General features: G+C 46.1%; 1 protein-coding gene across 1 annotated transcript in view, besides 2 other annotated features; it reads left to right on the top strand.

Annotated features, from left to right (window-relative positions):
• GRID1 (glutamate ionotropic receptor delta type subunit 1) overlaps nt 1–19087 on the top strand; it is a 767244-nt gene that overhangs the window by 179412 nt on the left and 568745 nt on the right. The window lies entirely within an intron of this gene.
• Nucleotides 7847–8346: an enhancer, noted in NCBI's record as "H3K4me1 hESC enhancer chr10:87938795-87939294 (GRCh37/hg19 assembly coordinates)". NCBI's record gives its function as "activates a minimal SCP1, AML or CMV promoter by ChIP-STARR-seq in naive H9 embryonic stem cells {active_cell/tissue: H9 hESC(naive)}" and the evidence as "EXISTENCE:reporter gene assay evidence [ECO:0000049][PMID:30033119]".
• Nucleotides 8347–8848: an enhancer, noted in NCBI's record as "H3K4me1 hESC enhancer chr10:87938293-87938794 (GRCh37/hg19 assembly coordinates)". NCBI's record gives its function as "activates a minimal SCP1, AML or CMV promoter by ChIP-STARR-seq in naive and primed H9 embryonic stem cells {active_cell/tissue: H9 hESC(naive and primed)}" and the evidence as "EXISTENCE:reporter gene assay evidence [ECO:0000049][PMID:30033119]".

The raw sequence follows: 19087 nt of genomic DNA, 5'->3' as shown, positions 1-19087 counted from the left end.
AGGTACTCAATGTCTCCATGTCTCAGGTTGCCTGTAGGCGTCTACATCATAGCCTTCTTGTAAGGTATAGAGAGCTGGCACCAGAATAACACTCAGTGCCTGTCTCATAGAAAGTGCTTATCAGATGCTTGATATTATTATCAACCCAATTTTACCAATGAGGAAATGGAGACTCAGGGAGGTGAAGTAATTTTTCTGAGGTCGCAGAGACAGCAAGTGGCAAAAGAGGTCTGAGCCCCGCCCCGCCCCCAATGACCATACTTTTCCTACCACAACCCACCTGGATCTCTGTCCTCTGGGGATGGTCAAATGATAAGGTAAAAGCTAAAAGGGATTTGGGGCTGCCTTTCCTTGGCTCTTCTCTGGGATGTCCACCAAGGCACTGAGTGTCATAGAAAACCTGGTTTCCCCAGCTTAAACCTCTAAAGCTAGTCCAGAGGAACAGTTGCTTCTGCCTGGGAGTTAGTCTCTCTACCTCAGTTTGCTTCTCTCTAAATGAATAGATCAGATCTGCTGGACTCTCTTGTGGCTGCATTGATCTCTGTGTTTTGTGGCTATGGTGTGCTTCTTATGTGCTCTGGGGTTGTCACCCAAGGAAGTGATGAAGTGGTTGCTTGTCATGGGGACAGGAAAGAAGAAGCATTTGAATAATCACTGCATGCCAGCATTGAGTTTAGTGTTTAAAAAAAACTGGCCCCATGGAGTTTTCGTAACACCTCTGTAAGTTAGGTACTTTTGGCCCCATTTTCCAGATGGGAAAACTGAGGTTCAGGCAGGCTATTGAACTTGATTAAGGTCACCCATCAAGAAAGACAAACACTGGTGGCTATGAAGCTTGAAGCCCCATTGTCCCTTAGAGAAGCAGAAAGTCCTCAAATTACTTGAGCTTCCACCTAGGAAGCTAGGAAAAAAGAGCAAATCAAATCCAATATAAGTAAAAGAAAGAATAAATGAAGATTAGAGTGGAAAATGATGAAGTGGAAATCAGAAAAACAGTAGAGAAAATAAATGAAACAAAAAGTGGTTTTTCATGAAGATAAAATTGATAAACCTCTGAACAGACTGACTGGGAAAACACAAGAGAGAAGACACAAATTACCAACTTCAGAAATGAGAAAGGTGACATCACTATAGATGTGAGAGGCATTAAACAATCATAAGGGAATGTTTTGAAAAACCTTATGCCAACACATTTGACAACTAAGCTGAAATAGACAAATTCCTTGAAAGACACAAATTACTAAAGCATACTCCAGAAGAAACAGAAAGCCTGAATGGTCATATACTGATTAAAGAAATTGAATTTCTAGTTTAAAAACCTCAGAGAAAGAAAACTCCAGACGCAGATAGCTTCACTGTTAATTCTGCCAAATATTTAAGAGAGAAATATTACCAATTTATGCCAATTTATCCAGAAAACTGAAGAGAATACTTCCAAACTTATACTATTAGATCAGTGTTATCCTGGTACTAAAACTGACCAAAACGTGACAAGCAAATTAAACTGATGTCCTTCATAAGAACTTCAACAAAAGATTAGTAACAATATATAAACAGAATACTTCATTGTGAGCAAGCAGGGCCTAGTCCAGTAATACAAGGCTGATTTAACATTCAAAAATCAAGTGACGTAATTCACCATTATTATAGACTTAAAAAGAAAACACGTATGATTATGTTGTAGCATTTGATGAAATCCAACATTCAGTTATGTTAAAACTCTCAGCAAACTGGGGATATAAGGTAACTTTCTTAACTTCATAAAGGGAATTTATAAACAATCCATGAGGAACATCATACTTAATAGTGAAAGACTATATGCTTGTCCCTTAAGATCAGGAGCAAGACAGGATATTTACTCTCACTGTATCTATTCAGTGCTGTAGCTGAGGTTTTAGCCAGAAAATTAGGCAAGAAAAAGAAACAAAGATGCCCAGATTGGAAAGAAAAAAATGAAAACTTTAAATTTACTGATTATATGATCATCCATGTGCAAAATTTAGTGGGATCTACAGAAAAATACTAGAATTAACAAGTGAGTTTAGCAACATTGCAGTCTAAAAAATATACAAAAATCCATTGTATCTACATACTAGCAATGAACAATTGAAATCAAAATAAAGAAGAATACTATTTACAATAGCATACAAAATGGGAATTATTTAGGGATAAATCTGACAAAAATCAGCAAGATCTGTACACTGAAAACTACAAAACACTGCTGAGAAAAATTGAAGAAGATCAAGATAAATGGAGAGACATACTGTGTTCATGGATTGGAAGACTCATTACTGTTAAAAATATTAGTTCTCCCCAAATTAATCTATAGATTCAATGTAATCCCAATAGAAATCTCAGCATGCTTCTTCTTTTTGGTAGAAATTGCTAATTGTAAAATTTGTATGGAAATGTAAAGTACCTAGAATGGTCAAAACAACTTTGAAAAGGAAGAATAAACTTGGAGGACTAACACAACATGACTTCAATTTCGATTTCACTACATGACTACAAGATTTCAATTGTCCATTGCTAGTTTATAGATACAATGGATTTTTGTATATTGATGTTTCTATACTGCAGTGTTTCTAAACTCACTTGGTAATGCTAGTAGCTTTTTTGTAGATTCCATTGAGTTTTGTACATAGATCATCATATGATCAGTAAACTAAAAGTTTTAGTTTTTCAAAGTTATAGCTTCAAAACATTAAAAAGCTACAATAATCAATACAGTGTGTTTTTGTGTGAACATAGAGAGATAGATCACTGGAAGAGGAGAGACAATCCAAAAATGGACCCCCACTTATATGGACAAATGATTTCAACAGGGTTGCAAAGGCAATTCAGTGAAGAAAGAATAAATAGTCTTTTAAACAAATGGTGCTGGAACAATTAACTTTCTGTATGCAAAAAAAAAAAAAAAAAGAAAAAAGAAATATACTACAATCACCTTGCCTGTATGTAAAAATAAGTCAAAATACTTTACAGACACAAGAATAAACCTTAAAAATATAAAACTACTAGGAGAAAACACAGTGGAAAATCATTGTGACCCTAGGTTAGGCAAAGATTTCTTAGATGTAACAGTAAAAGCACAATCCATAAAATAAAAAAATTGATCAGCCAGATTTTATTAAAATTAAGAACTTGCACTCTTTGAAAGATTCTGTGAAGAGGATAAAAAGCCAAAACTGAGGAGAAATATTTATGAATCACATAGCTGATAAAGAAATCATGTATAGAGTATAAAAACTCTTAAAACTCAGTAATAATAAACAGCACAGTGAGAATTGGGCAAAATATTTGAATAGACACTTTACCAAAGAGGATACGTGGATGACAAGCACATGGAGAAATGCTAATTATTGATTAGGAAAATGCAAGTTAAAGCCACAGAACATGCTATTTCATAGCAGTGATTAGAATGGCTAAAATTAAAGATGATTGACTATACCAAGCATCAGGAAGTTTATGAGGCAACTGGAATTCTCATTTACTGCTGCTGGGAATAATGTAAAATGCACTACCAGTTTGACAAACTGTTTGGCGGTTTCTTAAAAAGCTAAACATACACCTATCATATCAGTCATTCTACTCCCAGGTATTTACCTGAAAGAAATGAAGGCACAAGTCCACATGAAGATTTCAGTAGCAGCTTAATTCATAATAGCCCCAAACTGAAAACAACCAAAATGTCCATTGGCAAGTGAATGAATTAAAACATTTTGGGCTGGGCGTGGTGGCTCACGCCTGTAATCCCAGCACTTTGGGAGGCTGAGGCAGGTGGATCACTTGAGGTCAGGAGTTTGAGACCAGCCTGACCAACATGATGAAACCCTGTCTCTACTAAAAAGACAAAATCAGCGGGGTATGGTGGCGCATGCCTGTAATCCTAGCTACTTGGGAGGCTGAGGCAGATGAATCGCTTGAATCTGGGAGGCAGTGGATGCAGTGAGCTGAGATCATGCCATTGCACTTCGGCCTGGGCAACAAGAGTGAAACTCTATCTCAATAAATAAATAAATAAATAAATAAATAAATAAATAATTGTGGTATATTTATATGATAAAATACTACTCAGCAATAAAATGGAATCAATTATTGGTACAAGCAACAACATGGATGAATTTCAAAATAATTAGGCTGGGTGAAAAAAGACAAAAAGAGTATATACTATGTGATTACATTTATACAAAACTAGAACATAGAAACTAATCTACAGTGACAGATTGCAGATCAGTGGTTGCCTGGGGACTGGGGTGGGGGATAGGGAAAGAAAGACCGCAAAGAAGCACAAGAAAATTTGGGGAGTATGTTCAGTATCCTGATTGTGTGATGCATGTGTCAAAAATGCATTAAAAATTTACATTTTAATACATGCAGTTTATTGTATGTTGCACATTATTACCTCAATAAAGCTGTTGAACAAATTCCGTTGCCTTTTCCTGATACCATGCTGCCCGTCACAGGGGTTCTTTGTCCATGCCAAAGAAACCATCACTCCTGAATTCATTCAAATAATCGCATATCCCTTATGGTCTGCAAAGACTTGTTAGTTTGAGAATCCATCTGTGTAACATCTACCACATAAGCAAGCGGTGCTGACTTGCTGGAATTCCTGTCACACACGAGAGAGAAAGGGTGGAGCAGTCAGGATTATATTATAGCAGGGACCCGAAATGCAATGAGCAGTTTCAACGAATAGTCCTTGAAATGTATGACAAAGGAAGCTAAGTGCATTGCAATCTAGAAGCTGACATCACAGTTTTTATCTCCATGTTATAATTTTCTTCCTTTATCACCAGTCTGCATTAAGGTTTATTAGTACATCTCTGGCCTGCTCAGAAGCCATCAGGTGGGGACAGATTAGTGTGTCGGTTATGGAACAGTGGTAGGCAGAAGCCGATCAGATGAACTCAGACAGCACGGTAATTAGCATGCCCGAGACACCAGGCTGCCGTGCTGGGGCGGCCTTGGCCAGTCTCACTGTGGAGCAGTTTGTTCCTTTCCACAAAGAAATTCATTAGTGGCGATCAATGGCATGCAGTGTGGAGGCTCCCCCACTGATGCCTGGAGTCTCCGTGGCCCGGAGTCGCCCCCTGCTTGGGGCCGGGAGAGAGGTATCCATGCCAGCTCTCTGGCTGCTCACCAGGGCCACTGGGCAGCCCCTCAGGGTTAGGCTACGGGGAAGCACCCGCAGACCCTGGAATTCTGCATGCAGCCATGGTCTCACCCCATAGTCTCAATGGAAGGGCGAGCACACAGCTCTAAGGCTGTCTGCACCCACGGAGACTGATGTGGAATTGATGCAGGGGTCGAGTGCGGAGTCTGAAGTCATTAAGCTCTTAAAGAAGCCCACTTCACTTTTTGTTGTTTGCTCCATGCCAGCAAATTCTAAGTACTGCAACACTAAGTTGTAAATTCATGTATTCGTCCAATGAGTATTTATTGTGTACCTTTTGCATGCTAGGTTCTGGGGATTCATGGAGAATGAGGGGGTCAACGTTCCTGCCCTCATGGAGCTATAGCCTGGCATAGGAGACAGAGAATAAATAACTAAGAAAGCCAACAAGATAAGTACCACTGAGTAATTAAGAAAACTTGTTATTATGTAATGTCCTGGATACAACATGACTCTCTTAATCAGAGGTTCTTCCCCTGGGCTCATAGACCCCATAAGCTCCTTGAAATAGTTATGGAAAAGTATGTGTGTGTCTGTGTTTCTGTTTTTTTCTCTAGGGAAAGTCCATACTTTTCACCATATGCCTAAAGTGTCTATACTTCAAGGAAGGGTGGACAGATGACTCTAGTTCACCCCTCAGGTGTCCATGGGCACAGGCATTCTTTCCTAATCCTTTCCTGGACCCACTGTGACTGTCTCCTCCTTGTTTCTCTAAATCACTCCCAGAGAAGTCTGTTCCCATGTACTAGCGGGGCTGGGAGCTGTTGCTTCCCTCTCTGGGTTCATGTTAGTGTCCACTGGAAGAGGCAACCTACCTGCATTCAATCAGCATTGCTCTGCACCTCTGAGAACAAGCACTCCATTTCCCAGGGGAGAGCCAGGTCCTGGGGGCCACAGCTTCAGGGGCAGCTGGATGGGAGACCATGCAGCCCTGCACCGCCAGCCTGATCTCCTGGATTTGTAAAGTGATGGTTGCAGTGGGAGGCCTTGGGTGGGTGCAGCTAACCAAGTTCACCTGTGGGGATAAGAGTGAAGGTTTGTAAGCAAATACCAGGGAACGTGCCCTGCTCCTGGCACCTGTACTGGGGGTTGCTCTGCACACCTGCATGGTTGGGGGTGTGTGTGGCTTGTACAGCCTCGTGGCTGTATCCTGCCCAAGCACTGTGTGTTCGGGGGAGGTTCAGCCTGGGCTTGGCTGTCCTCATGGCCAGCATCCAAGCGAGGACCCTCACTTGCCTGCCCTGGTCCTCAGCACCATCTCTGCCCCTCCAGGTTAGCCTTCCCTGAGCCCAGAGCTTGCCAGTTCCCTTACAGAGCCTTTGGCCTCTCTGGTCTGGCACTGGTCTCCCCAAGTCCTATTTCAGGAGGGGGCTACAGGGATCTTATTGCCATTTGTGTCACAGTCTCTGAGGATGTTCACAGCCCAGTTCCCGGGCCTGGCCGCAGGTGGTGGAGCAGGCCCTCCCTCTGTCCAGCCCTGCTCCTGTGAGCTGCAGGCAGCGCCTTGTTCCTGCCTGCAGCTCACATGGAGAGGGAGCCTTTTGTGGAGCAGCTTTTGGCATATGTCGGGAAGCCTAGGAAGTGGGTGCACTTGGGTTTTGTTCTTTAAAGCTCCTGGGTGCTCAGGCCTCTGCCCAGCCCAGCTTGGGACAGGGAGCACATGGAGCTGGCAACCTTGGTCCTTCAAAGCATCATTGCCCCTGACCTCAGGACCTGTCCTCTGCTCAGCAGACCACCAGTTTTAATTATGGTTAGGACGTGGTCAGTATGGGGCACTCTGAGGACAACCTCTGAGGTCCTAGAGTCACTTTTCTTACAGAGTATCATATAGGACTGTCACACCTGCCCAAGCATGGCCCTGGGCAGCTGTTCGATCACTCTGGGCCTCTATGCCATTTGTCGGTAAAATGAGGGGCTCCTGCCTGTGGCATGGAGGAGAGGAGTTGCTGAGCCAATCACTGCGGGCCCCAGGCATGGTGCCCACCCCTGGTGTTCTCTAGTGTCCTTCTGGTGCACCAGCCGGAGCCTTCTGCTCACAAGCTAGCTGGCGGCCACCTCTCCTGCACCTCTCCACCACTCCACCACTGGGCTGGCCTCCCTTTGTCCAGCCTGCTCCTGCTCCGCCCTGCCCACTGGCTCCCAGACTCTTGACTTGGCTTCTGCCATAGGTTGATGGAGCTCTGGTTTCTTTGTGGTGCCTCAGGCCTCTGCAAGGGATTCAGACCCTTCTGCGTCTTTCTGGACTCATTCTTTGGCTCCCTCCCGCCCATGTGCAGCATGGGATTCAGACTGAGGTGTGTGTGTAATAAATGTGGGCCTCCTCTTCTCTCCACTTTACGGGGGAAGATGGGCTTCCTCATGACCCTCTGGAGGATGCCCTGGGGAGGATCATGTTGTGGTGGTGTTTCATTGTTAGACCTCCCTGGATTGAAGTAGCTGAAATCCTAGCCGACGTTTATGTGTATTTAGACATGATGCACTGGTTTGGGCTAGGAGAGTCATTGTGATTGATTGGCTGTGGCCCTGAGGTTCGTACAGATGTTCCCATAGAGGGTAGGACACTGTCCCGTGGCCAGTTGGAGCAGTGACTGGGGACCCAGGGAGCAGAAGGGGACTTGAGGCCCCACAAACTGTCAGAGAAAATGAAATGCAGTTCTCTGTGGCTTTCCACTTGCAAATTGTGTGACCTTGGACAAGTAAGTAGAACTGTCTGAGCCATAGTTTCCGTCCTTGAAAGCTGGGATGGAAGTGACTCCCTGCTGGGGTCGTGGAGGACCAGAGGAGGTCACCTCAGTGAAGCTGCCTGGCACGCCATCGGGGAGAGCCTCAGAGAAATTTGAATGAGTAAATGTCTGGCTGATCCCAGGAGAGCAAGGAGAAAGATGGAGGGAGGGGAAGAGGGAGGAGGGCTGCAGTCCGGGGCTGGGGCATGGGTGGGGGCTGCTGTGAGACAAGCCTGGCCAGTCTGGCTTTGTGAGCTGGTGGCAGGAAGAGGAAGGTAGCTGGGCTTGCTTTGGGAATGTGTGTGCTGTGGGCCCCAGTGGAGGCCCGGGAACTTAGCCTGTGTACTGTCTTGGGGGGATTTCTCCCTTCTGGGTGGGGATTGGGTCTGGAGCCTGGAAACACCTTTGGTCTGATGACCTAAGCCCCAGGCATTCCATCCCATCCTTGGCTCAGGCTAGGCTGGGACCTGGGATGGCTCCAGTCCCAGCTCTCCTATTAGCCCCAGGAGTGTGCAGCTGGGGCAAGGCCTGAGGGTAAACCAGACCCTCCAGCCTCTGCAATGCCTGCCCAAGGTCAAGGCTCTTGGCTCAAAGCGACAGAGAAAATTCTCCCCATCAGGAAACACTCTAAGGCTTCCCTGGACATGGCACTGGCTTTGAGGGTCTCTGGGCTAAATGGTCTCACTCCGAATCAAGCAGGGAGGCCGGGGAGAAACCATGGGTTCAGGGAGGGGAGTGAAATCAGAGCCTCTCAAAGGCAGAAAGGGCCAGGAGGCCTGGAGGTGGCTCCCAGGGTCTGATGCATGGAAATGAGGAGTCGCTTAGTTTAAGGAGACCGTAGTTCTCTGTGTGTAGAACGCCCCGGGGTGGATGCACGAGCCGCCTGCTGGTCATCTGGAGGTGGCGCATGGGCTCTCTTGTGCCTGTCCCCTGTGGCAGAGGCCCTTCCTGGGCCTAACACCCTCATGAAATGGCCTATGAGCTTGAACCTGGGCCTGAATGTCCTCACTAATAACCCAGCACCGTTTGCCAAAAATCAGGCCAGGTTGCCTCTGGAGAGCCTGTTAACTGAGTGACTTGCTGTCACCCAGCCTTGCTTCTTCTCCCCCTGTCCTCCCTCCACTGCTCCCGCTTTTGTGTGCAAATAGGCAGGCAGGGGAAGGTTTGGGGCTGTGTCCAAAAGAAGGGCACGATGGATATAAAACGTAAGAAAAAAAATGCTCAATAATTTGGTCATCTGGAAAATCAGCCAGAGGTCATTTGGGAGACAAGTGATTTTGTGACCTGGTTTCTGGTGAGTTGGCCACTAGGAGAACTGCTCACTCGAAGATTTTGTCACTTGGGGAACTGACTTTGGAGATTTGGTTTTTGTGGAGTGGAGCTGATTTCTGAAGTGAAATCTCAGCACAGAGGTTTACAGGAAGCCAGAGTCCTCCTCACTTGAAAACTCACACCTCACCCCTGGTGCCCCTCAAGGCTGTGTCTCGGCTTTGTCCCCACGGAGGGGAGCATAGTATGTTCTTCACGGTGGTGGACTGGGATCTCTTTGTCTCACTGTCTCTCCGTCTCTTTTACACACATACTGGAGCCTTTGTTTCTGTCTCTTTCATGCACACACACACACATACACTGAAGTCTCTGTCTGTCTCGTGCACACACGCGTGCATACGCTAAAGTCTCTATTTCTGTTTCTCTGTAATGCATGCACACACAGGCACACACACGCACGCACACACTGTCTCGCTCATGCACATATACACACACTGGAATCTCTCTCTGCCTCTGTCTCTTTCTCTCATACACACCAAATGGATCTCTGTCTCTCACACACACATGCATACACATGCTAAAGTCTCTTTCTCTGTGTCATGCATGTGCACACACACACTGTCTCTGTCTCATGCACATACACACATACTGGAATCTGTCTGTTTTTCTCATGCATGCACACACACACCAAAATCTCTGTCTCTCTCATGCACACATGCATGCACACGCTAAAGCTTCTGTCTCTCTCTCTGTAATGCATGCACCCACCCCCCCATACACAGTCTCTGTCTCTCATGCACATATGCACACACTGGGATCTCTCTCTGTCTCTCTCTCTCTCTCTCCTGCCTGAAGCCTCCAGAGAAGTAAGTTGAATGTTGAGCAGGGTTTTCCCACGGGGTGGCTCAGAAGCAGCCGTAATTGGAGGGAGTAGGGAAAAGACAATGCACTGTAATTGGTCTAAATAACCCTTTTCGCTGAGTGTTAAAGGCAAGTAAGTTCTCAGGAGCAGACCTGGCTTTTTCCTCCCTAGGATTTTCTTGCTGTTTGGAAGTGCTTGTTCCTGGAGGGTGTGTTCATCTCTCTCGGGGGAGGTCGGGATCCTGGGTGCTGTTGGGGTTTGCTGCTGTAGGGGGTGGGGGCGAAGGGCACCAGACAGTGATACGGTGGAAACTGTACCGTGCATGCCTGGGGCTGTCTCACAGATGCTGAATCTGAACTCACCATTTCTCCTCCAGATCTGGTCTACTTTTGTCTTGGCTGGTGACATCACTGCCACTGGATGATGTTTCTTACTTTTGCCACGGCCACTGAGAAAGCTGACACCTTTTCACAGCTTTCAGTGATTGAACACTGACCTTTTCAAGCATCCTTGCATCTACTCCTCCATCTGCACCATTACAGTCCCTCATCATTTCTTACCTAGACTGGCACAATAGCGACCTATCAAGGCTTTCTGTCACCAATGTCTTCTTTCTCTAATTCACCCCATTGGTCACCAGAGGAGACTTGGGAATATGAGTCTGATTAGTCAGATCCAAGCTTGAAAACCTTCAGTAGCTCTTCATTGCCTCAGGGTCAAGTTCAAGCTTTGCAGCTTCATATCCAGGACCCTTTCCCACCTGGCCCCTCCCTTCTTTTGCACGATCATCTCCTCGTCTTCTCACTCATTTGCCTTTGGTCTCCGGCAGTGCTGAACTGCTTTAGCTCTCAGCGCATGCACAGGCTGCTCCTTGCTTATGCCTCCATTTTTTCAGGCCTCAGTGCCTTTGCACATGCTGATCTTCCTGCCTGGAAATGCCTTTCTTTCACCTCGTGCCATGATGAATATAATAAGGCCAAGTTCCCCATTCTTTTAGGTAACATTAGATACACTCTCCTTGTGCTATTTCTGTTCTTTTTTTGATGACAACTATCATGCTCCAACACTGTGCTATTATTCATTTGCTTCCATATCCTACTCTCCTCCTCCTTCAGCCCCAGAACGTGGTGTTCAAAGACAGGAAATACGCTTTGTTCACCTCTGTATCCCCAGCATCTAGCCCAGAACTCAGCCCAACAGCTGATTCTGGCTGGGCGCAGCAGCTGACGCCTGTAATGCCAGCCCTTTGGGAGGCTGAGGCAGGCGGATCACAATTTCAGGGGTTCGAGACCAGCCTGGCCAACATGGTGAAACCCCGTCTCTACTAAAAACACAAAAATTAGGCCGGGTGTGGTGGCTCACGCCTGTAATCCCAGCACTTTGGGAGGCCGAGGCAGGCAGATCACCTGAAGCCGGCAGTTCGAGACCAGCCTGACCAACATGGAGAAACCCCGTCTCTACCAAAAATACAAAATTAGCCAGGCATGGTGGCGCATGCCTGTAATCTCAGCTACTCAGGAGGTTGAGGCAGGAGAATCGCTTGAACCCGGGAGGCGGAGATTGCAGTGTGCAGAGATTGCGCCATTGCACTCCAGCCTGGGCAACAAGAGTGAAACTCTGTCTCAAAAAAAAAAAAATAGTGACTCATTCCCCCTAAGTGAATTCATTCCACAAACATTTACCAAACACTCCCCTGTGCCAGGCACAGCTCTGGGCACTGGAGGTGCATTGGTGTGAGTGTCAACCACCGGGTTAACAGCGGAAAGGTCCGTGATGTCCTTGACAAGAGCCGTTGCAGTGGGGCAGTGGGCAGATGGGGTGGGTTCGAGAGATGGCAGGAAGAGAGGAAGTGGAGCCAGCTGGCTAGGTCATATGGAATTCTCTTTGTCAAAGGGTATGGAGGCATGGTGGCCATTGAAGGAGGGATCATGGTATCAAGAGGGAGATGTTTTTATAAAGACAGAGGGTAACTTAGGCCACCACTTTCTTGGAGTCTTTTTTTTTTTTTTTGCTTTATTGAGGGCAAAGAGGTAGAGGAAATGGCCTTTTGGGAGTAAGTGAGTGAGAAAGGGGAGAGAGAAATACACAGAGAATAACCAGATCCACAAGTTGAGACAGTCTATCTGCGGCTACTCCCTGTACCCATCCCTATAGCTATTGCTGTATCTATATCTAAACACATATACTTCCCCTGCCACGCATATTCACACACATCTTTATAGAACTTTCAATGATTTCCAAAGATCCTGTGGAATACTGGTGTGCTGCCTTGTGGGGAGAAAAGAAGACTGAGCTAGTTTACAGTCCCACCAACAGTGTAAAAGTGTTCCTATTTCTCCACATCCTCTCCAGCACCTGTTGTTTCCTGACTTTTTAATGATTGCCATTCTAACTGGTGTGAGATGGTATCTCATTGTGGTTTTGATTTGCATTTCTCTGATGGCCACTGATGGTGAGCATTTTTTCATGTGTTTTTTGGCTGCATAAATGTCTTCTTTTGAGAAGTGTCTGTTGATGTCCTTCACCCACTTTTTGATGGGGTTGTTTGTTTTTTTCTTGTAAGTTTGTTTGAGTTCATTGTAGATTCTGGATATTAGCCCTTTGTCAGATGAGTAGGTTGCGAAAATTTTCTCCCATTCTGTAGGTTGCCTGTTCACTCTGATGGTAGTTTGTTTTGCTGTGCAGAAGCTCTTTAGTTTAATTAGATCCTATTTGTCAATTTTGGCTTTTGTTGCCATTGCTTTTGGTGTTTAGACATGAAGTCCTTGCCCATGCCTATGTCCTGAATGGTAATGCCTAGGTTTTCTTCTAGGGTTTTTATGGTTTTAGGTCTAATGTTTAAGTCTTTAATCCATCTTGAATTAATTTTTGTATAAGGTGTAAGGAAGGGATCCAGTTTCAGCTTTCTACATATGGCTAGCCAGTTTTCCCAGCACCATTTATTAAATAGGGAATCCTTTCCCCATTGCTTGTTTTTCTCAGGTTTGTCAAAGATCAGATAGCTGCAGATATGTGGCGTTATTTCTGAGGGCTCTGTTCTGTTCCATTGATCTATATCTCTGTTTTGGTACCAGTACCATGCTGTTTTCGTGACTGTAGCCTTGTAGTATAGTTTGAAGTCAGGTAGCGTGATGCCTCCAGCTTTGTTCTTTTGGCTTAGGATTGACTTGGCGATGCAGGCTCTTTTTTGAAAGTCAATGTGGCGATTCCTCAGGGATCTAGAACTAGAAATACCATTTGACCCAGCCATCCCATTACTGGGTATATACCCAAAGGACTATAAGTCATGCTGCTATAAAGACACATGCACACGTATGTCTATTGTGGCACTATTCACAATAGCAAAGACTTGGAACCAACCCAGAAGTCCAACAATGATTGACTAGATTAAGAAAATGTGGCACATATACACCATGGAATACTATGCAGCCAAAAAAAAATGATGAGTTCATGTCCTTTGTAGGGACATGGATGAAATTGGAAATCATCATTCTCAGTAAACTATCACAAGAACAAAAAACCAAACACCGCATATTCTCACTCATAGGTGGGAATTGAACAATGAGAACACATGGACACAGGAAGGGGAACATCACATTCTGGGGACTGTGGTGGGGTGGGGGGAGGGGGAAGGGATAGCTTTAGGAGATACACTTAATGCTAAATGACGAGTTAATGGGTGCAGCACACCAGCATGGCACATGTATACATATGTAACTAACCTGCACATTGTGCACATGTACCCTAAAACTTAAAGTATAATAAAATAAAATAAAAAAAAAGAAAAGAAGACTGAGGAGGAAAGTTTAGACTAAAAGTGATTTAAGAGATGTATCAAACAATTGGCTATATGTATAGACTTTGTCAGGATTCTGATTTGAAAAAATTATAAAAAAAAATGTGTGTGACCATGGGAAGATGTGAATACTGGCTGGATATTGGAAGATAGTAAGGGTTTGTTTACTTTTTGTAGGTATGCTTATGGCATTGCATTTAGAAAAAATTCTTGTCAGGCCAGGTGCAGTGGCTTATGCCTGTCATCCCAGTACTTTGGAAGGCCGAGGCAGGAGGATCACTTGAGGCCAGGAATTTGAGACCAGCCTGGGCAACATAGCAAGACCCTGTGTCTACAAAAAACAATAAAAATTAGCCAAGCATGGTGGCACACACCTGTAGTCCCAGCTACTTGGTAGGCTGAAGTGGGAGGATTGCTTGAGTCCAGGAGATCAAGGCTGTAGTGAGACGTGATTGGGCCACTGCACTCCAGCCTGGGTGACAGATATTCTGTCTGTTAAAAACAAAATAAAACAAAAACAGGAAAAATCCTTGTCTTTTGGAGACACAATTGAAATGTATACATGTGAAAGATGTGATGCTGGAGATTTTCTTCAACTTAATTTGAGGGTGGGTGAGGTGTAGGTGGTAACAACTGAAGTTGGGTAAGACATACACAAGGCCCACTACCCTTTTTTCCAATGTTTGAAATTTTTTTATAATAACAAGTAAAATAAAATCATATAATAGCATTTTTTTCTTAGTTATACAGGAATCTTGTGTGCTTTTTATTTTAGGTTTTACGGCCTTAACTTTTCTGGAATATTAGGTGCTGTTATCACTTGCCGGCTAGAGAGAGGAGCAGATGGCAGGATGGATGGATAAGTAATGAGCAAATATTAATGAGAACAGGAAACTATCAATCGAGTTTCCTGGACAGATTGCTTTTATCCCTGGATACTTCTGCAAAATTACATGCATATAATATAGTCATATTATTTTTTGCTAGAAAATGATTCATACCATGGGATTAAGTAGGGCAGTACTTTGCGGTGGGAGGGAGGTTTATAGAGGCTTAAGTGTGGGCTCTGGAGGCAGACTGCCTAGCATTGCACTCAGTAATCCTCTGACCTGGGGCAGTAACTCCCTATCTGCAAAATGATGATAAAGTAGGTGTATGCATGAATATGTACCTGATGTATACTCACACAATGGAGTATTATTTGGCCACAAAAAGTAATGAAGTACTGATGAGTGCTAGGGTAGCGATGAACCTTGAAAACATTATGCCAAGTGAAAGAAGCTAGCCACTAAAGACCACATATTGTATGATTCCACTTATATGCAATGTCCAGGATAGCTGAATCCATAGACACAGAAAGTGGCTGCCAGGGGCTAGGGTGGGATGGGGGTAGGGGAGTGTAGAGAGTAATTGCTGATGGTAATGAGGTTCCTTTTTTGAGTTGATGGGAAAGTTCTGAAATTAGATTGTAGTGGTGGTTGCAAGAGTCTGAATATAATAAGCCATTCAATTGTACACTTAAGACAGGTGAATTTTTTGGCATGTAAATTATATCTCAATAAAGCTGCTTGAAAAAAATATACCAACCACATCACAGAGTTAAGGATTAAATGAAAAACTGTGTGTAACGTATTTCCTGGCATGCCGCGTAGGGTTTCTAACTCCAGGTGCTTCGCTGAAATCTTTAGGGAAGAGCGTGTTCCTCCGGCGTTTGCTTTCTGAAATGCTTGATATGAATCATGCTATGAAGACTCTGGAAGTGAGTGGTTTAGGTAGAATTACTATTTCAAGTTTCTAATGACCACATACTGGTCTGGAATTAAAAGGCTTCTAAATGGCCCTAAAGTAGATTATTCATATTGCTCCAACTTTTTGGTCTTTAAAACCATCTGTCTTTGAAGCTTGGAAATCTTTTAGACAGTCTACAGTGTGGCATTTCCTTGCACAGCCCCCACCCTACCTGCCTCTGCAGAACCTCCTCTTTTCCCATGGGACTTATGTGAACGCCTGAGCCCTGCTGACATCTTCACCCTCTGGGTCCCCACCTCGGTTAATAGAGATAAAGCCAGTTAGTAGCTAATCTAATGGACTCATGATGTCCTAGTTTATCTCTCTTTCTTCAATACCTCCTTAATTGCCTAAAATGTTATGGGAGAGACACAGAGCTAGCTGACCCACAGAACTGGTGGGGTTGGCCTTGCACTTGGGGATTTTCTTCCTTTCCAACTTTCAGGCTTGCATACCAAATCCCTGGGCTGGAGGCAGAAACGCTTCTATTGCCCCAGGTCCCTTCCCTAGTGGTTCTCTTGAGCTTGAGAAGGATGAGAACCATCCCTTTAATTTAAGCTCTTGCTGCCCTGGCAGGTCCAAAGCATGCTTTTCATAGTGGCTGCACCTTGGGATCCCTTGGGAAGTTTCGAAAAATACAGGTGCCTTAGTCCTGCTTCTAGACGCTCTGATGTAACTGGTATAGGGTAGAGAGTATTAAAACTTTCCAGGTGATTCTAGTATGCCTTGAAGTCTGAGAACCACTGCCTCAGAAGGAAGTCACGCTGAACGGGTGGTGGCGGTCTGAAGGCAGGGAAAAGCAGAAGTGCTTAATGAGTTGGGGGAGGAAGCGTGGGGGGTAAACGTTTTTCTTGACTTGAGTGTAGAGGAGAACCTGTGAGTAAACATGCTATTTTAAATGGGTTGGCATTTGGCTGAAAATAGACAGGAAGCACGGATCCAGAAATCCATTCAGCTTTTAGAACGTGACCCCAAATAGCTTCACTCCTGCTCTGACACATCCCCAAGAAGGACTCTTCCTCCTTTGTCAGCCAAACATGTTAGCAGTTGTCTTCTGGCACTTGGAGTGCATGCGCACGTGTGTGTGTGTATGTGTGTGGGTGTGTTTGTGTGTGTAGGAGAGAGACAATAGAAAGGTTGTGCATAGCCATGGCAGGCTCTCTGCAATGCTTCTTTGTGGTTCACTGGTCCCTTGGGGAGCAAAGTGGGGACCCTCCTAAAGATGGGCAGGCCCAGCAGGGAGAAGAGCAGGTCCATTCATTAAAGAACAGGGCATTGCCCTCTCCTGGGGGAGCTCACATTTGTGATGGGGCCTATGGAGGGCAGGCACTGTGCTAGGGCCATTATCTCCTGTAGGCCTCAAACGACAATCCTATGAGAAGCTCTACTTTACCGGGGAGTCAACTGAGGCTTGTGGTGCATCCAAGGACATACAGATGGTGGGCGACAGGGACCTGATTAGAATCGCTGTCCACTGGACCATGCCATCCGCCTGCTGGCTCTGAGGTGGCTGCTGCGGAGCTGACACCCCCAGATGCTCTGGGAGGGCTGGTACAGAAACCCAGTCCTGTGGGCTGGGCCAGAGCCACTCAGGCTCTAGGTGTCACGTTGGGCACCGTTGTGGTCCTCTTTGGCTGTGTGATTCCCTCAAGCCCCAGGCTTGCCTGGAGACCTTCTTGGGAGAGGTGGCTTGGGATAATGCTTTTCATTAAGGATGGGCGGAAAGGCCTGTCTTCTGAGAGTCCATGGCAGTGCTGATTCAGAACCCCAGGGCCAGGTGCCTGTGGCTTGCACGGGGCGCTTTCCTGCCCCGCCTTGGCCTCTGAGAGCTCCAGCTGTGCTCTGAGCAGGACAGAGGAAGTGACTGTACCTTGAAGAAGAGGGATCCTCAGAAGACCCAGTGGAGCCACATGGGCTGCCGCTGGGCTGTTTCAGCGGTAAATCTCCCAGGATGGGACATCTTTGGGGAGTTCCTCCTGCAGGCCATGGCAGGGCTTTGCCTCTAGCAATGGGACATCTTCTGGGGACTCCTGAGTTGAACTGGCTGGTGGGGGTCTTCTGCCTGGGGATTGAAAGTGACCATGTTTCAGAAATCCCAGGCTGGACTGCTGCTGGAAACTGCTAGAGGAATTTTGTGCTCTTCTGACTTGCTGACTCACCAGGCCTTATGGGTTGCCCTGTGTGCTTTCCCTGAGGTTTCAGGCTTTGGTTCCCACCCTCGTTTTCTCCTTGGCAGCATCCCTTCCACCACCCCCATGATGGAACTGGGCACATGTGGGTACCCCTGTGCAGGGGCATGCTGGAAGCTGGCGTCCTAACTCCATGCTTAGTAATATCCCTTGGTAGCTTGAAATCTACCATGGTGGAAATATTTACATCAAGGAAGTTGGTAAATGCTACAAGTCAGGGGTTTATTTACTTCCAGAGAGCCAGTTAAACCTCTCCTAGCATACCACTGCCCCTGGGGCTACAGCGTGGCTTGACAAGCTCAACAGTACTTGCCTCATTCTCTATCTGTTTGGCCTAAGGTCATTGCCGGAAGGCACCTATCTATCTCAGGGCAGTGTTTCCAGAGGCCACTGTGGCCCTTTTGGTCTGCTGTGACCAAATCCCTAGGTCTGACACAAGGCCTTCTTGTTGCAGTCCGGTCTAGCTCTTGCCATGATCCTGGATTGGCCTGAACCAGTGCACTGAAGCATCTTTTACGTCAGACACACTGTCCTTCAGCCTTTCTGCACCGGCATTGTGCACCCATGCAGGTGTGTGAGAGTGGGGAGCAATGCCTGGCTGGAGCTGTGGGCCTGGGTCCCCTTTCTAGCTTCAATTTCTTTCCCCACAGACCGAGCTGAACTCACAAGGTCCAGCTCATACTCTGTGCCCAGGGAGTCTCCCTGAATGGTGCTGTCACCTGTGCCCCTTGCCTGGGATGCACACCTGCCTTGGGTCTTTGCCCTGCCCTGTCCCCCAGGGTAAGTGGGTGAGTTAGAAGAAGGTCTTTCCAGAGGCAGGTATTTTGTGGGTCTTTGAGTATGTGACTGGGTATTTCTATGTGTCTCTGTGTGCAAAGCCTGAGTGTGTTCTTTCCCTGCCAGCCTTACTCACCGCTCTGCCCTGGGCTTGCTGAGGCTCCCTCAGGGCTGGGGTGTGTGAAGAAGGGCAGCTCCTCAGGGTGCAGTGGGCACTTGGCTCAGAATCCTTCCCACACCTGGCAGAGGGGATTCTGCATCCACAGGTGTTGTGTGGACAGCAGGCTCTTGGGTTCTGGAGATTGTCATGGGATCCCGGTTTCTAAGGGCTTCCCAGGGCTCAGATGTGCCCTCGGTAAACACAGCCCACAGCTTGGGCAGGGCCTCCCATCTCAGTGCAGTGCACGAGGGCGGGCGAGTTTCACTTTTCCCAGCCTGGGGTCACGCCCCTTGCCTGCATTGTCTCCTCGGCTCCACACACAGCCTGGTGAGATTGTGTGCCTA

Source organism: Homo sapiens, chromosome 10 (genome assembly GCF_000001405.40).
Source record: "Homo sapiens chromosome 10, GRCh38.p14 Primary Assembly".
NCBI classification, from domain to species: Eukaryota; Metazoa; Chordata; class Mammalia; order Primates; family Hominidae; genus Homo; species Homo sapiens.
Note: the sequence above shows the minus strand (reverse complement) of the source record. Positions and strands in the feature narration are given on the sequence as shown.